The following is a 17076-nucleotide window of genomic DNA, read 5'->3' as shown; positions in this document are numbered from 1 at the left end:
TTTAATCCTTGCAACCCTTCTGCATGAGATGTTTTATTAGTGAAGGATATACTGAGTCACTGTAACAAATGACGTTTCCAGACAGCTTGCAGAATAAAAAGTGTATGTCTCACGCACGTGACAATTTGAAGTGAATGTTCTAAGTTGATGGGCAACCCTTCTGTGCACAGTCATCCTGGACTCAGGCTGATGGCAGCTTTTTCAACACTTGTCTTCCAAAATCTCTCTTGTCATTGCCATTAACCAGCAAACACAAAGGGGAAAGAGGAATTAAATGAGGCATAGCCTCGTTTTAAGGTGTCTTCCCACAAGGGACACATATCTTGCCCCTCATATTCTAATGCAGAAGTCTAAGTGACATGGCCATATCAAGTTTCAAAAGAGCTGTTGGGAGAGAGTCCTCCTTGGACCTCTTGCATTCCTACATGTCTTGCTGAATATACCAGAACTTCAAGGATCTCACTGCTCTTTTATTCTGGCTATTTCTTAGGGTTGTTTATACAGACAATTACCTTAGGAAATGAAATTACATCTACTTATCCTTCCCTATGACACACACACCACCAGGGACAATGAATAGGCTTGCTTATTGCTTACTATAAAAGTGATGGATTCCCCAAGCTTGGTGCTCCTCAGTTGCAACACAAACACTCTGCATGCATAACATCCATCTGGGGCCATTGTATTATCCCCCATAAGACCCAGGGCAAGAAGAACCAATGCAAATATGCTGATGTTCCTGCTGCTTGATGTGTCATGAGTACTAAACTCCTTTGTCTCTGACCTAAGGGTCTTGTGTCTTCCATTAGCACCAGTGAAACAGTCAGAAGCTAACATATTAGCTTTCAGTAAGGTAGAATCAAATCCCAGACTTGGCAAGAATTTGAGAAATATGGTCCTTACCTGGGTAGCAATATCTTAGCTACAATCTTAGACCTATAGAAGAAGGACAAAAGGGATTTTGGTGATTAGTTAACAGTCTCTTTCATAGATGTGCTTATCTCTATTAGGAAATGAAAACTCGAAGAGGCAAAGTGATATTGATATATGATTTAGCTCTGTGTCCCCACCCAAATCTCATCTCGAATTGTAATCTCCACATGCCATGAGAGGTATCTGGTGGGAGGTGATTGGATCATGGGGGCAGTTTCCCCTATGCTGTTCTTGTGATAGAGAGGGAGTTCTCATGAGATCTGATGGTTTAAAAGTGTTCAGCACTTCCCCACCTCATGCTGTCTCTCTCCTGCTGTCTTACAAGTACCTGCTTCCCCTTCACCTTCCACCATGATTGTAAGTTTCCTGAGGCCTCCCCTGCCATGTGGAACTGTGAGTCAATTAAACATCTTTCCTTGATAAATGACCCAGCCTCAGATAATATCTTTACAGCAGTGTGAGAACAGACTAATGCACAAAGCAATTTGCCCAAGGTCTGGCAAAAAGCAGAGCTGTGATTTGAACAAGTCTGTTCAATTTCTTCCACTAAAATGAGAAGACACACCACAGGAATGTATTATTGCAGCCATGCAAATGTGTACAGAAGCCCATTTACTGTGAAATTAGTGTTAACCCTAACCCCACCTTAATCCTTACCCTAACCCTTCCAAGGCTCTGGGAGTGGCCCTAGTAATGTGTTCACATGGAATTGGATGCCGTGTTAAAGAGCTTGGACTTTAGCATATAGGCAGTAGGGAGCCATATGAAGTTCTTGAGCAGAGATATAATATTGTGACTGCAATGTGGGAGGTAAATCGGATGGAGAGAAACACTGGAGGCAAGGATACTAGGTAGGAAACAGTGGTCATGGTGCCTGGCCGAGAGTAGTGTTTGATGTGTGCTGAATGAATGGCTTTGGTGAAAAATGATAATGGCCTAAACCAGTAGAAGGGCAGGATGTATGGGGGTGAGTGGCCAGATCATAAATTCCTGCAACATCCCATGCTTGGGAATCATGCACATTATATTCAAGACGGCAGCTACTTTTAGGGGCAGGAAAGGAAATGTGACTGGGGAAGTCAAAGGGGCTTCAACTCCATTGATAATATTTTATATATTAAGCTGGGTAATGTGTACTCAGGTAGTTCCTAAACTATACATATTCTTTTTCGCTTTTAACTTATGACCATGAAAAATTCTTTATACCTTTTGTGAGTATTAAATATTTCATAATAAAATGTGTAAAACACATTTTAGGGGCAGAATAGAAAGGGTTGTATTTTGAAGCGATACCTGTGTACAGCCCTTCCAAAAGATCTTTGCATTTCTACAGAAGACAATTCATTAACATAAAGAATATCTGAGGGAGGAAGATCTAGTTCCAGAAACCTGTAGGTGGGAAAGATATTTTCAGGGGAAAGAGGAATCTTCAGGGCCTGCCTGCAGCCACATGCATGACTGGCCCTGACTGTCCTACCCAACTGCATACAGGACTGGACCTGGGGGGCCCTTAGGAGGGTGAACCGTACCTACCCTGTGGCAGGGAATCTCCCTGGCGAGCCAGCCAGTGTTTGCTGAGCACCCGCCCCCCTCCACCACTGCAGGGGGCATGTCTGCAGAAGCCATTTTAGTGGCAACACCTCTTGCCCCCAAATGCTTGAGTTCCCTTTGTGAATTTTTCTTAATTTTCTTTAAAGCCAAAATGCGCATGCTAATCTTTCTCCTCTCTCAGCTTCACATGAAACCCTGGCACACAGCCTTGCATTATTCATGAAGGCTTACATTAATCAAATGCTTCAAAGTTTCATAAAGTTTCTATTTTGGAGCACATTCTTTGTAGGGTGGGCACTTAGTGGACAATGGGATTGTATTTTGGAGCTCCTCCAGCATTCTTAATTCCCATCTGCTTTATTTGCTGCAGCTGTTTTATTTCTTCCCCAGAGGCCACATCTCAGAATTCTGTAGTATATAGAGTGTTTTCAAATAAATGTGAGCACCAGGAAATGCTTTCTAGGTTGAGTGGATGCAAAAGAGATGAAAACTGTTACACTTGGTTTGTCTTCTCTGACACATGTCTCCCTGTGATGCCCACATGTATGATTGTGGCAGAGGCTGCTGCATGCTCTCCAGGGCATTTTCTCTTTTTTCCTTAAAAATTGGATGCCAACTTTTAGCTGAGCCATATAGAATAAGGACTACATTTCCCAGCCTTCCAGAATCCTCCCTTGCAGTGGCCATATGACCAGCTTCTGGACAATGGGTGTAATGGAAGTGTTGCCCCATGACCTTGGGGCATGCCCCCCTTTCCTCTCTGCTTTCCTGCTGGCTGGAATGTTCTATGATGGCTGGAGCTTGGACTATGAAGAGGAATCAATGTGCTGAGCAAAGCAACGAGATAGAAATTGCTGAAATCCCTAACCATTGGAATGCCTTACCAGCCCTGACTTCCTAAAAGGGAGAAAACTATCATCTTTTATAAGACATTATTTTCTAGAAGAGGGTGAAGCTTAAGGAGGTAGAGGAGGGTTGTGATGCACTTACTAATTCATCCCTGAGGGTTTTGTAAGAAATACTTTAATTTGCAAATTAGAGAATATTTTACTGGTGTAATATTGAAGGTCATAATGGAAAGGACTGACCTCAAGGTGCCAAATCCTGAAAGCATAAACATTTTCCTGTATAACATTAGACCAACTCGCTCCATGTCTCTTTTGCCAATACCCACAGTACGAGCATTAATGCACCGAGTCTCCCAGGAGTATTCTCCATTGCACTAGAAGGAAAGAGGAGCTGACCCAGCTAAGCAAGGATAACTTGCCCTAACATCGAGTTGCAAATGGTTATTGGATTATTGGTATATTTCTCATTATAAAAGCACAAGAATAAAAATCACCAATATAACTAAGAGTGTAATTGGATTGTTTGTAATACACACAGGATAAATGCTTGAGGGCATGGATGCCCCATTCTCCATGATGTGATTATTTCACACTGTATGCCTGTATTAAAGCATCTCGTGTACCCCAGAAATATATACATCTACTATGTACCCATGAAAATTAAAAACTTACCAGTGATCCCACTACCAAGTAATCATTTTGATCTATTTCTTCTTAGTCCTTCTCTTCCTTTTTTTTTTTGTTGTCCAACATTACACCAAGATTTTTTTATTATTATTATTATTATACTTTAAGTTCTGGGATACATGTGCAGAACGTGCAGGTTTGTTACATAGGTATACATGTGCCATGGTGTTTTTCTGCACCCATTAACCCATCATCTACATTAGGTATTTCTCCTAATGCTATCCCTCCTCTAGCCCCCCACCCCGCCACAGGCCCCGGTGTGTAATGTTCCCCTCCCTGCGTCCATGTCAATGCAAATATAGATGTTTATCTTTTTATAAATGATATCATAGTATATGTATTATTTTGTTGTTGTTTGTTTTGTTTTGTTTCTTGTGTCAGAGTCTCACTCTGTCATCCAGGCTGGAGTACAGTGGCACTGTCACAGCTCACAGCATCTTAGAATTATTCTGCTCAAAAAAATCCTTCTGCCTCAGCCTCCTGAGTAACTGGGACTACAGGTGTGCGCCACCATGCCCAGCTAATTTTTAAAAAATTCTTTATAGAGACTGTCTCACTATGTTGCCTAGGCTGGTCTTAAACTCTTGGCCTCCAGCAACCCTTCTGCCTTGGCCTCCGAAGTGCTCAGATTACAGGCATGAGCCACCGTGCCCTATTTATTACATATTATTTATAATGAATTCTTCTACAATACATTTATTAATCATCTTTACTCCAGACCATCATATGGCTGTATTCTAATATATTGTCCAATTCCTTAGTCTTTTTTTTTTTTGAGATGGAGTTTCTCTCTGTCACCCAGGCTGGAGTGCAGTGTTGCCATCTCGGCTCACTGCAACCTCCACCTCCCAGCTTCAAGCAATTCTCATGCCTCAGCTTCTCGGGTAACTGGGACTATAGGCACCCGCCACCACGCCTGGCTAATTTTTTTTTTTTTTTTTTTTTTAGTAGAGAAGGGGTTTTACCATGTTGGCTAGGCTGGTCTCAAACACCTGCAATCCCTTAGCCTTGTATACATATTTTTTTTCATTTCCTACCTTCTTTTTTTGCCATTATAAATAACACTGGGATGAACATCCTTGTAGATAAGTATTTCCACACATCCTGATTTTTTTCTAGTGAAGTTCTAGAACTGGAATTCAGGAAGATGTAATCACCATTGCTACTATTCCTTTTTTTAAAGCCCATTTTGATGTCATTGATCTTTCACTGTCTCCTCTGGTTGGGCAACTCTCAGTCAGGTTTTCAGAACAATAGCCCTTTGTCTGGTTTATGTTAAACAATATGAGAACTTGAACATTTTCTGTTCTGAAATATTCATAGGTTTTTTTTTTTTAATCTTCTACCATTGCAAGCAGTTAAAAACACAGCCTGGAGAAATGACATTTTTCTTTCAGAAAATGAATTGGTAATTTATTTGAATGAGGCTGGGTAGTTGTTTTAAATTATTACCTGATGCATACCACTAATGAAATGAAGTCCGTTTACATCTTTAAATAACCTTTAATATTTGTACAAGTAAATATCTCCATTTGACAATAATGGAAATTGTCAGAAATTTTCATTTTCTCACAATTTAGCTCACTCACAATGGCTGTCAGACAGCCGGATGATCTGACGCAGCGCACTGCTAATCGTTTCAGCAGAAGACAGTGTTTCAAAGGTACGGGAAAGGAGGTGCAGACACTAATGAAGTTTTATTATCAGAACATAGAATTAGGATTGTGACAAGAGACAATGGTGGCAATGACACGTAGTTAGAATGTTACAGCTTGTGAAGTCTGTAGCTAAATCTCAGGAACAGAAATGTTGAGAAGGGTAGACTGATGACTACCCCTCAGTGGAAACAGACCAGATCTCAGCTTATCTGGCTGGAAGGAAAGCAAAAAAACAAAGCAAAACCAACCAAAAAATCCTAAGAAACAAAAGACAGATTCAAGCCAATCTGTGATTTGTAAAATAAGCCAGGTGCAGGCTTGTGTAAGTATCCTTGACATACCCAAATGATGAAATTGGCATGCTTTGGTATGTTTGTTTTCAAAAACAAGGTGGTAAAAGCTGAATCCAATGGATCACAATTATACTAAGGACTCCAGGTTTGAAATACTGACATCGGTGATTAGAAATTATTTTGTGGGAGAGAGGGAAGGGAGGTAAAAAGAAGGAAGTAGAAAAAGGAGGGTGAGGAGGGTCCATCGTCATCCAAAATGGAGCCCACAGTAACAATCTCAGTGAGATGACCCTTCAGAATAGCCCTTGCCATTTATCCTTCATTCACTTATTAATATTTGATAGATACTTATTGTCTACTAAGTACCAGGCACTGCTCCACTGAACACCAGGATACAGTGGTGAATAAGACACATAAGGCCCCTATTTTCACAATTTATATTCTTTTGGGGGCTAGAGAGAAAATAAACAAATAAGAAAATATGACATATAGCACTATGGGCTATGCAAAGAATTATAATAAAGTGAAGTGATATGGTGCTGGGGAGGCTGTTTTATAAAGTATGTAGTGTGTGGTGGTCTTAAAGCAAGTCTTCAGGTACTTCGATACTGTTCTACTAGTAGGTAGAGTCTATGTCCCTTCCCCTTGCACCTGAGGGGCTTCTGTACCTACCTGGAAGAATAGGACACAAAGGAAGTGGCTATCAGTTTGAAAAGGCCATGCAGCTTCTGCTGATTTTTCTTGGAACATTCACTCTAGGTGCCTTCAGCTGAATGTAAGAAGTCCAGCTATCATGAAGTCTCCATGTGGACAGACAATTCAGAGGAATGAGAGAGAGAGAGACCTGAGCAGCTAGCAGTGCCAGCACCTAGATGTTTGAATCTTCCCAGCCCAGATACATGATGGAAAAAACTTCAAGATGCCCATTGGACAGCAACCACATGAAAGACCTGGAGTGAGAACTCCTAAGCTGAGATCTCACTCTTTCAGACTCCAGAGCCAAATAAATAATTATTAATGTTTAAGCCACTGTTTTGGTGTGGCAACAATAAAGGCCTGGAACAGGGTGATACGGGAAGGTTTCTTTGAGGATATGATGCTTATGCTGAAGACCTCAGTATCATGAAGGAGCCAGGGGAGAAAGAACATTCTGGGCAAAGGAAATGGTGGGAAGATCCTAAGTCAGAAGTGGATTTAGCAAGTTCAAGGAAGGAAAGCAGGCCAGTGAGGCTGAAATGCAACCCAGTAAGAGTGGTAGGAGATGAGTGAAGGCGTGTAGTAGAACTTCAGTTTGTGGGGAGGGTGTGCACTCACTCAAGTAATATCCTACAGTAAGGCTGAGCGTGGCCGTGAGCACCTTCCAAGTTTAACACTGGAACCCTGGTAGAGCTTGAATTCATTTTCTCTCCTGTCCCAGTGTCATGATAAAAAGTGCTAATAAAACTTTCCCAAACCTCATCTAATAACACTGAAGTCCAAGAGAAAGAGAAGGGTGGGTGTTTGGGCACTGCAGTTCTCCCCAGATAGCAGAGGATTTAACACCTTCTTGTTTAAATTAAAAACAAACAAACAAAAAAACAAAAACAAAAACTCCTTGGGCACAAATAATTAAAAACAATACTATATGGATATGTTTCAAGGACTGCAAGCATGCATGAGAATGCCTTTGAACTGTCGGATCACCTGGTCTTAAAAAGTCATTTTGCAGTTTCTACCTTCTTTAAACTGGTAGACCATTTTGTGGCTAATATGGAAATCTAAGAAATGCAAATATTGATACTACCAGAAAGTGAAGGGAAGCAGTCTGAATTTGCATTTTGTGGCAGTTACAAATGTCCTTTAACCTGTAGACAAAGGTCTCTCTGATTGAGGAGTGCCAGTGAATGACATCTAGAAGAGCTGCTCCCAGTACAAGCAGGCAGAGGTTGCTTTCCACAAACTGGACAGAGAAGAGATGGAAGATAGCAAGATTATTTGATATTTTATTTAAGCATCCAGAAAAGGCCAGGACACAAGAATAAAGAGTTAGAGTCCTGCTACACTTTGCAAACAAATAGAAGAGGGCATAGCATGTCCCTGGAATCTCCAAGCCCCTTGCAGATTCTAACTGCCAACTCCTCATCCCAACACTGAGTAGCAAGGCTCTTTGGATGTAAGTGGCCCAAACTCAAATGAAATTGGCTTAAGCAAAAAAGGGGGCCTCATTAATTCACAGACTCAAACTGCAGAAAGCGTAGAGTGGAGCTGAGCTTGGAGAAGCTGGGATCCAGGAGCTCCGTCACCAGGTGGATGCTCTCCCATTTCCTTTCTGCATCTCCCTGCCTGTTGTCTTCATTTCCCTAGACCAGATCCTCCCAAGAGATAGGCTTACATACTTACAGCTTCCTACCAAAGATGCAAAAGACTCTTTCTCCTCAGCTTATATTTAGAAAAATCCCTAAGGATACACCCTGATGGGCCTTGGGTCATTTCGCCACCTTCTTTGGTCAACCATTATGACCAGACAGTCGGGGGTTGTGACTGGCACAAAAGGAGCAAGATCTGTTTCTAGAAGAGGTGAGACGGGGCAATGTTGGACAGATAAAAATGATATTATCTTCTTCCCAAAGGGAAGAATTAGGTGAAGTCTAAAAGCAGAGCTCACAGATCTGAGTGGTACCTCTTCACCCTACATGTAACACTGCCTAAAGCGTAAGATTTAGGGCTGGTGAGACAGAAAAGACAAGGTTTCCATAGTTCAGCTCTTTCAGGGTATGGATTTCCCCTTGTAAATAACTTACACTTTGAGAACACAGATCTCATGGAATCATTGGCTTCTCAGATGGAAGAGACAGTTTAGTCCAACGTCATTATTTTACACATGTGACAAAATTCAAGACCTTCATTTACAATAATTCACAGGCTTGGCACAGTGGCTCCCACAGGTAATCCCAGCACTTTGGAGGGCCGAGGCAGGAGGATTGCAGGAGTTTGAGGTCAACCTGGGCAATATGGAGAAACCCTGTCTCTACAAAAAAAAATACAAAAATTAGCCGAGCTTGGTGGCTTGCACCTGTATTCCCAACTACTTGGGAGGCTAAGGTGGGAGAATCACCTGAGCTTGGGAAGTCAAGGCTACAGTGAGCCATGATTGTGCCACTGCACTCCAGCCTAGGTGATAAGAGTGAGACCCTGTCTCAAAAAAAAAAAAAAAAAAAAGACTCACAGATTTGTAAGGAGGCCAAAAGGCCAGAAATGGGAGCAGCTGTCAGGCTAAGTTGGCTCTGCTGAGAGACTCACTACAACACTGGCTGGAGGTCATGCTATGTAGTTCTCCCCTTTGGTAGTCCTATGGGAGCCTTAAGTGTATATTACTTTTTCAAGATATTTGTTTAGAGTTGGATTTCTGTTCAGACACATCACAATGTTAGCAGTGACCAGAAGCAACCTGATTACATTATCTGTGATCTTCTCACTGTATACCCCCACCACCTCCTACCTACACCCACCCCCACGCCACACAGACACAGACACACCTGTACACTCCTGATCACCTACATGCCTCAGCTTTCACTGTGTCAGTGGAGGTAAAGGTGAGTGGGGGGAGCAGAGAAGCCAGCAAGGAAGCAAGATTTCAATTGGGAAAGATAGGGAACTACAGGAAAGACAAGGAAAGGAGAAGGATGAAGAAGAAGAAAGAGCCTCTTTAAATTGTGAGCTCTAGACAGAGTCTTTCGGGGTCCTCTGAGCGAGGGAAGGAAAGACCTTTGAGGCCCCTCCTGTACTTGTGAGAGGTGGAAAGAAAGAGGAGGAGTTATGGAAAAAATCATTTCCAGACGTTTTGTTCCATTTTTGTTTATATTTTATTTTATTTTATTTTATTTTATTTTATTTTATTTTATTTTTTGAGACAGGGTCTCACTTTGTCTCCCAGGTTGGAGTGCAGTGGCACAATCATAGCTCACTACAGCCTTAAACTCCTGGCTTCAAGAGACACTTCTGCCTCTGCCTCTCAAAGTGCTGGGATTACAGGCATGAGCCACTACGTCCAGCCTTATTATGTGTTTTTAATGTACCTTCTCACTTTCACTCTTAAGATACTGCAGACAGTATTTACAATGGTTTTACTTTTTTAAATGTTGAATTTGTGTTTCTTTGCAGATACTGGGCCACATGGTGACTTGGATTTTTAAGGGTTACACACATGAGGCAACTACAATCCAGAGGAATTTGTGACTATCCTCAGAGGCCACAGCCATTGATGCCTCTTTCACTCTGCCCATTATGTCCCACTGAACAGCTTGGGTGTCAGAGCCAGCCATTTTGCTCTGTGAGGAAGTAATTTTGCAGTTAAATTGGACCTGGTTGCATTTTCTAGTCTCTGCTTTCTCCAAATATCCCAGTACTTAGTTTTTGCTCTGGTTGAAAAAAAAAAAAAAAAAAAAAAAAAAAAAAAAAAAAAACCTACACTAATGGATTAAACAACCATTTGGAAAAGACAGGTAATTAGTCCAAGTGAGTGTGTGTGTGTGTGTGTGTGTGTGTGTGTAAGAAGCTGTGTATGAGTCTAAGGAGGTAATAGTCTTGCCAATACCTAGGCTATCTCTTGAGAATAGTTCAATTATTTACTGACCTTTATATTTAAATTTCTAGTTTGGCCTCTGGCTTGCCCCTGCTCTTCCTTATTTTAAATTGGTATCAAATCCAGCAGAAAAATATGAAGTGCAGTCCCCAGGATGCAGTGTAGTGGTCAAAATGGAGGCTTTGAAGAGAGCCAGACCTGGATTCAAGTCCAGGTGCTGTTACCGTTTAGTTGTGCTACCTTGGAGGAAAGTTGCTCAACTTCTCTGAGCCTCAGTTTAGTCTTCTGTGAGAGGGGACTAACATCATTCCCATTTTTTTTTTAAAGGATTTTTTCTTAAACTTTTTTGAGGTAATTTTGGAAAGGATCATTCAAATTAACGTATGTGAAGCACCTAACATAACAGACCCTTGGTAAATGGTAGCAAAGAAGATTGTGATCATTAGGAGCTCCTGAGAGAGGGCAGGTGCCACAGGAAGGGATTGGACCAGATCAACATTTCAGTGTCTTCTGAGGATTATAATTTCTGGAAGTTGCTCCCAGATGGGGGACAACTTTCAACCTACGGTCAAATAAATATTGCTTAGAAACTCTCAATTTGCCTTTTGGAAATTTATTGTATACATTAGCATATTAATAGCTCTGAGAAATCCTGAAGAAAAGAGTCCGTTTAAGTTGGTTTAACCCAGTGATTCCCAAATACATCTGAGCAAAGAACCACCTTTTTTTAAAAAAGGAAGAGATGTTCTTTTGTTAGTAACATTCCATGAAATCAGTGTTCCTGGGAATTCACTTTGAAAAACATTGGACTAAGCACTCTTTAAGGTTCCTTCTGAAAGCTCTTGGTAGGTGGAGGGATTCTGGGTACCTGTCTTACTCAGCACCCATAAAGGCTATTTTATGAGCTTCCCAGAGTGTAAAAAGGCCAGGGGATAAACAGAGCTGCTGCTGGAACCTCTAAAATCCACTTATTAAAAGATACTGAATTGCTGGTGGGATATAAAATGGTGCAACCATTTTGGAAAATGGTCTGGAAGTTCCTCAAAAGAATAATATAAGAGTTACCATATGCTGTGACTAAATGTTTGTGTCTGCTCTCCAAAATTCATCTGATAAAATTCTAAACCCTGATGTGATGGCATTAGGAGGTGGGGCCTTGGGGAAGTAATTAGGTCATGAGAGTGGAGCCCTCATGAATGGGATTAGTGCCCTTAGAAAAAAAGGAAAGAGAGCTTGCTTTCTCTCCCTCTCTGTCTGCTCTCTACCATATGAGGATACAATGAGAAGAGGGCCGTTTGCAACCCAAAAAAGAACCCTCACCATTACCTGATCACGTCAGTGTGATTTCTGACTTCCAGCCTCCAGAACTGTGAAAAATAAATTTCTGATGTTGATAAGCCACCCAGTTTGTGGTATTTTATAATAGCAACCCAAGCTGACCAAGATACCACATGACCCAGCAATTCCACTCCTGGGAATTGAAAACATACGGTCATATAAAATCTTGTACATGAATGTTCACAGCAGCATTATTTAGGATAGCCAAAAAAGTAGAAACTACCCAAATGTCCATCAACTGGTGAATGGATATATAAAACTGCATGTCTGTATGGTGGAATATTATTCAGTCATTTAAAAAAATGAAGTTCTGATTCATGTTACAACATGAATCAGATGAATCTTGGAAACATTACGCTATGTGAAAGAAACCAATGCCAAAGGCCACATATTATGATTCCATTTGTATGAAATGTCCAGAATAGGCAAATAATTAGAGAAAGAAAGTAGATGAGTGATTACCTAGGATTGGGAGAGCTGGGAAGTGGCTGCTAAGGGGTACAGGGGCTTTTTGTGGTTCATGAAAATGTTCTAAAATTGATTGTGGCGATGGTTGTATAAATCTGAATATACTAAAAGCCATTGAATTGTACACTTTAAATGAGTGAATTTTGTGGTATGTGAGTAATAAAAGCTGTTACAAACAAACAAAAAACGACACTGACATGTTGAGGGAAAAGGAATTGGTCTAGAATCAGTGTAGTTGTCTAACTACAGTGAGTTTGAATGAGCAATCTCTTTAAATTGCAGGATTGAGCAAGGGTTGGTTTGTGGCTTGCTGTGTTTGTGGCCATTGCTATCAGGCCTCAATGTGGTGTACCAAACTGGGGTGTCCACTAACACAAAAGTCAGCTGCATACACATCCAGAAATGGTCTTCCCCTGGCCTCTTTGCAAATTGCGCATTCCACCCTGGACAATGTTTTATAGCAACCAATCATTTTACAAAGTATATGGTGATGTTTCTACAAAACCATCTCATTTCTGGTAGTGGTGGTGGTGATAGTGTGAAAGGAATGTAAATCATTTCCTCTTCCCAGAAGCAAAGCAAGTCATCTATGGCACCATCCTATCCCATGGATCCCATTCATGATAGAGCCAGATTTTTAGACCCAATAGGTGGCTGCTACATAAAGCACTCACAGCAAGAATGAAATTAATTGTCACTATTGTGCATTTAGTATGTAAAAAGATGTAGTGTTCTGTTTCCAAATTAAAATCTTGACTGTGTATTAGTCATTGTTACTCTCCTCCACCATCTTTCTGATTAAGTGATATTAATAGTCAACAGATTAACTGATAGGGTACAAATGAGAGCTTTAGTTGTATTAACTACCAAAAAGAAATAATTTATTCTCTTATTTTAAGCCAATGCAATTTCTCCTTTAATTAGATTTGTACTCTTGTCAATTAATAAAACATAAATACAAAAACCTATAGTTGTACGTATATGTCTAATAATCATCTCCTACTTAAATGACTTCAATATTTCTAGCTCCCGGGAAAGGAACTGACAGGGAGAGAATGTGGATGTGACTCGGCTGCATAAACGTCATGCGAACGTTTGCAGATTGCTTAACCTGGCAAGATTTAGTTTCCTTACCTCTCAAATAAAGATCATAATTTTTTATCTGCCATCTTAAATGTGTCAATTGTTGCTTGCCCTGTCCAAAGGCCCAGCTAGCCAGTAACCCATGATTTGTTAGTTTCTAAAGAGTGAAGCACTCAGACAACCAGATTACCTCTTCCAGGAATTTGAACTGAGACAAGGATGTTGGCCATTGGTGATTCTAAGAGATATATAAGAAAAGCCCAAGGTCTTTTTCCTGCTCTCACACAGCCAAAACCACTCAACATAGAGCATGTCACCTCTGGTCACCAACAAGTGGGTGGGGATTTCTCTCCACCAGCAACCAATTCTGCAGCACATTTTCCAGCAGGCCAGGAGGATGTTCTCTGATTCCATTCAATTCTGACACTATCTACTGTGAAATAGACATTTCACAATATCACAGTGGTGCATGGTCAAACTGAGAAGTGAGGATTGCTGCCTTGTGTGAAATGAGAAAGACGGGGAAATGATCAAGAAAGAGAAAAGTAAGAGCAGAAAGCCAGAAGTAGAGATAAGACGGACCATGTGGTCTGTTGAGACAAAGTAGCACTGGATCTCAGCCTTCCTGGTTTTCCTGAGGTCTCTAAATATTTATACTGAGCTGAGCTTCACTTTGACTTAATTTCATCAAGTTTGAGTGTGTCTCTGTTTCTTGGAAAAAAAAAAAAGAAGGTGGAGGGAGGCTACAGTGCAGCTTTCCTGAAAACATCTTCCTTGCTACCTTATAGAATTGGACGAAGGTCCAGATGACTTCCCCTGATTGAATGTGGGCAAGCAGCAGTGCCTTTCTAATCTTTGTGTTACCGAAATATTTGCTTAATTGAACTGAAATTGGTTAAAGTGTGTGAAGATGCTTTGAAAACTTTGAAGCACGCTGCTGCTGGAGAGCAGAAGGGATTATTAACAATCTGACTAAGATTTTATGAAATCCCCATTAGTCATTTTTGTGTAACTGCCACAATGAATAAAGCCAAGAGAAATGGCTAACGTAGAGAGAAATTGGGTGGATTTTCACTTCTTCATCTGAGCAATTTTAACTTTAACCCTATCCTAAAGTGAAAGTAGAGCCTAAGAGTGTTCTCCTTAACCAGTAAGCAAGGCAGCTCCTGCCTGGAACCGACATTTAGATCCCTGTAGACAGGAAGCACATTTGTCCATTTTTGTAAATTTTCTAGCACAGAGCTGTCAGGGTCTAGGAAAAGACTAGATTGTCCATCACAGTGAAATTCCTTGCTTCTCTGCTGCAGATGGAGCTATAATATGAATCGAAGCATTAAGTTGACCAGTTGCACAAGTCTCCATTTTGTGCACATGGGAATTAAGACAATAACTAAATCCCCTGTTATTAAAGAAGTGCTTTGGTGGATGTTAAATTTTCTTGGCTATCTAGACTGGCCCACTTCACTGGTCACTCTAATTTACCTGCATAACCTCTGGGCAACCTACTAAAACATGGAGAAAAAGAGAAGACACAACCATCCAAGGATTAAAGCAAGACAGAGGATGGAAGAAAAGGTGGACTATTCTCTTCACTGTGTGGCTATCTGCCATGTCCAAACTTGTAGCAGTTCTACCTTGTGTGGGAGAAGAAATTCTAGATGCAGAAATATTCGGAAGAGGACCTACACATTCAAATGGGTGCCTAGGAGCCTAGGAGCTGACTGACCCACCACTGGCCACCACTGCCACCCTCATATTTTACAAGGCAAACACACCTGCCAGCTAGGATAGGAAAGACAGACCACCTTTAAAATGTCTGCAAACAACCTCTCCCCATCTTTGATACAACCTTCTGGGTTTTAATTGCTCCCCGAAAGTGAGAGCCATCCCAGGATCCTTCGGTGACATTTTCCAGTTTCCTGTCGGCTCCACTTATGAGAAACAAATGGGCTGGCTGGCCTCCCTCTAGATTGAGTTTTTCATGAAGTCATTACTTCTGTCACGGGAAGTATTTTCAAATTGAAAAATCTGAAACAATAAATGATGGTGAAGCAGTTAATAACTGTTAAGAAATCACATTTGGAAAATTGCATTTAAGCAATAACCTTTCTCCCTGTAATTAAATGACAGAAAGGTCTTGGTTTTAATTAAGTCAGCAATTTATAGTTATGAAGCTATACTTCACTATGCAGATTAGCAAATGATAGGTCACAGAACACCCTGAGTGCATTTTGAGTGGGTCTGATATGGTAATTACTCCACTGTTCAGTGGTGACCACATTGAACCGTATCTCTAGATGAAACAATTTTCTTTTCCTTGCTCCATGATGTATAACTAGGATGAGTAAATGTACCACGAGCACTGCCTTGTGCATCTTTAAATTAAAATGGATTTTAAATGACGGGGCATGAGCGGAGGGAGCGTGGTTGAAGAACAGCACCGGGAGTGAATGGGCCACTAGTCAATGCCTGCAAGCAGAGAATATATCATTGTTTTACAGGGCTTTCTATCTTGTGCCTGAGTATTTGCTGCAGATTTATGAGGAAGTAAAATGCTAATGTTAGTGTATTTATAAACATATGATGGGGGTTTCATCTATAATTTATTCGCCGGCCCTACCCTTATCCTCCTTGGAAAGGAAAATGAAATGCAATGTTGGACAGCCAGAAGAGTCATTGATACGGCTTTCACATTTTATTTAACTAACCCTCGGCTCATATTACACATTGATGATCACATTGTGAGATGTTTTTTGAAATGCTTATTGTGTCTTGTATCTGCCTCAGCCTCAGCTAGTCCAGAATTCTAGCAGTCACCAAATGACTTCAAATAGCCAAGTAAGAGTACGCTAGTGGATGGTCCTGCGTGTGTGTCTGTGTGTGTGTGTGTTTGTGTGTGTGTGTGTGTGTGTGTGTGTGTGAGGAGTCCTAGAGGGAAGAGAAAATCCAGTCCCTGAAAATCATGTCATTTTTCACTTCACTCTTAAAATTTCAGGAGCATCTGAACCCTAAAAGATGACTTGTTTTCAGGTGTTTCGTTTCTTCTCCAAACCCCTTATTTTCCTGCCTCTCTCCATTAATGCATCTCTCCACCCAAACACATAGAGAGCGTTGGCTGCAGAGGAAGGTATTCAAGCATTGAGACAAGCATCCCAGGCTAAGCACAGCCCACGTGGCAGAGGGGGCTAAGCACGAGAAGACCCCCTTATGTGATGCCGGCATTTCTCCCGGGCAGGAACTTTGACTTCTGTTTCTCAGCTCTGTGTTTTATACTGTTTGTTCCCCCTACCACACACACAAGTAAAGACGTGAAATGAATCAGATTTGATTTAAGCTGACCTGTAAATCACTCAGTGTGTCATAACTAATAGTGACTCCCTGTTCCAGACAATCAGAAGCAAACCAAGATGCTCCTAAGTCAAGAATTTCTCCTTAAAAAAAAAAATACTGAATTTTCTTATAGAGAAAAAAAAGATACAAATGCACTTCTTATCCACCCTCCCTTGGGCATTTTGGAATTCTAAAAGAGACTTAAAATTATTGTATTCTCAGAAAAATTACCAAGATTATATTTAAAAGGGAAAAAATATGACCATAGCATTTTTAAGGATTACGTCATGCATGTTTAATTCAAATGTAGCTACACAGATATTCCC

The 17076-nt window shown here is 40.9% G+C and overlaps 2 long non-coding RNA genes across 4 annotated transcripts, besides 1 other annotated feature; one reads left to right on the top strand and one right to left on the bottom strand.

Annotated features, from left to right (window-relative positions):
* LOC105376613 (uncharacterized) lies at window positions 1–5143 on the bottom strand. Of its 2 annotated transcripts, XR_931164.3 has the most exons (4): window positions 5057–5133; window positions 2227–2322; window positions 904–936; window positions 1–226 (listed from the first exon to the last, which is right to left on the bottom strand). It is a non-coding gene; the product is annotated as an uncharacterized LOC105376613 (long non-coding RNA). The 2 variants fall into 2 exon arrangements; XR_931165.3 differs by lacking the exon at window positions 2227–2322 and having other exon boundaries at window positions 5057–5143.
* Window positions 5144–5788: 645 nt separating this feature from the next.
* Window positions 5789–11128, top strand: LINC03031 (long intergenic non-protein coding RNA 3031). Of its 2 annotated transcripts, NR_120526.1 has the most exons (3): window positions 5789–5999; window positions 10111–10451; window positions 10859–11128. It is a non-coding gene; the product is annotated as a long intergenic non-protein coding RNA 3031 (long non-coding RNA). The 2 variants fall into 2 exon arrangements; NR_120527.1 differs by lacking the exons at window positions 10111–10451; window positions 10859–11128 and adding an exon at window positions 6730–7040.
* Window positions 15238–15626: an enhancer, noted in NCBI's record as "E-200 element". NCBI's record gives its function as "enhancer in olfactory bulbs, late olfactory tract, hindbrain, and cerebellum" and the evidence as "EXISTENCE:transgenic organism evidence [ECO:0001131][PMID:23359656]".

The sequence above is a fragment of the Homo sapiens genome, chromosome 11 (genome assembly GCF_000001405.40).
Source record: "Homo sapiens chromosome 11, GRCh38.p14 Primary Assembly".
Classification (NCBI taxonomy): Eukaryota; Metazoa; Chordata; class Mammalia; order Primates; family Hominidae; genus Homo; species Homo sapiens.
This window is presented reverse-complemented; position numbering and strand designations above follow the sequence as displayed.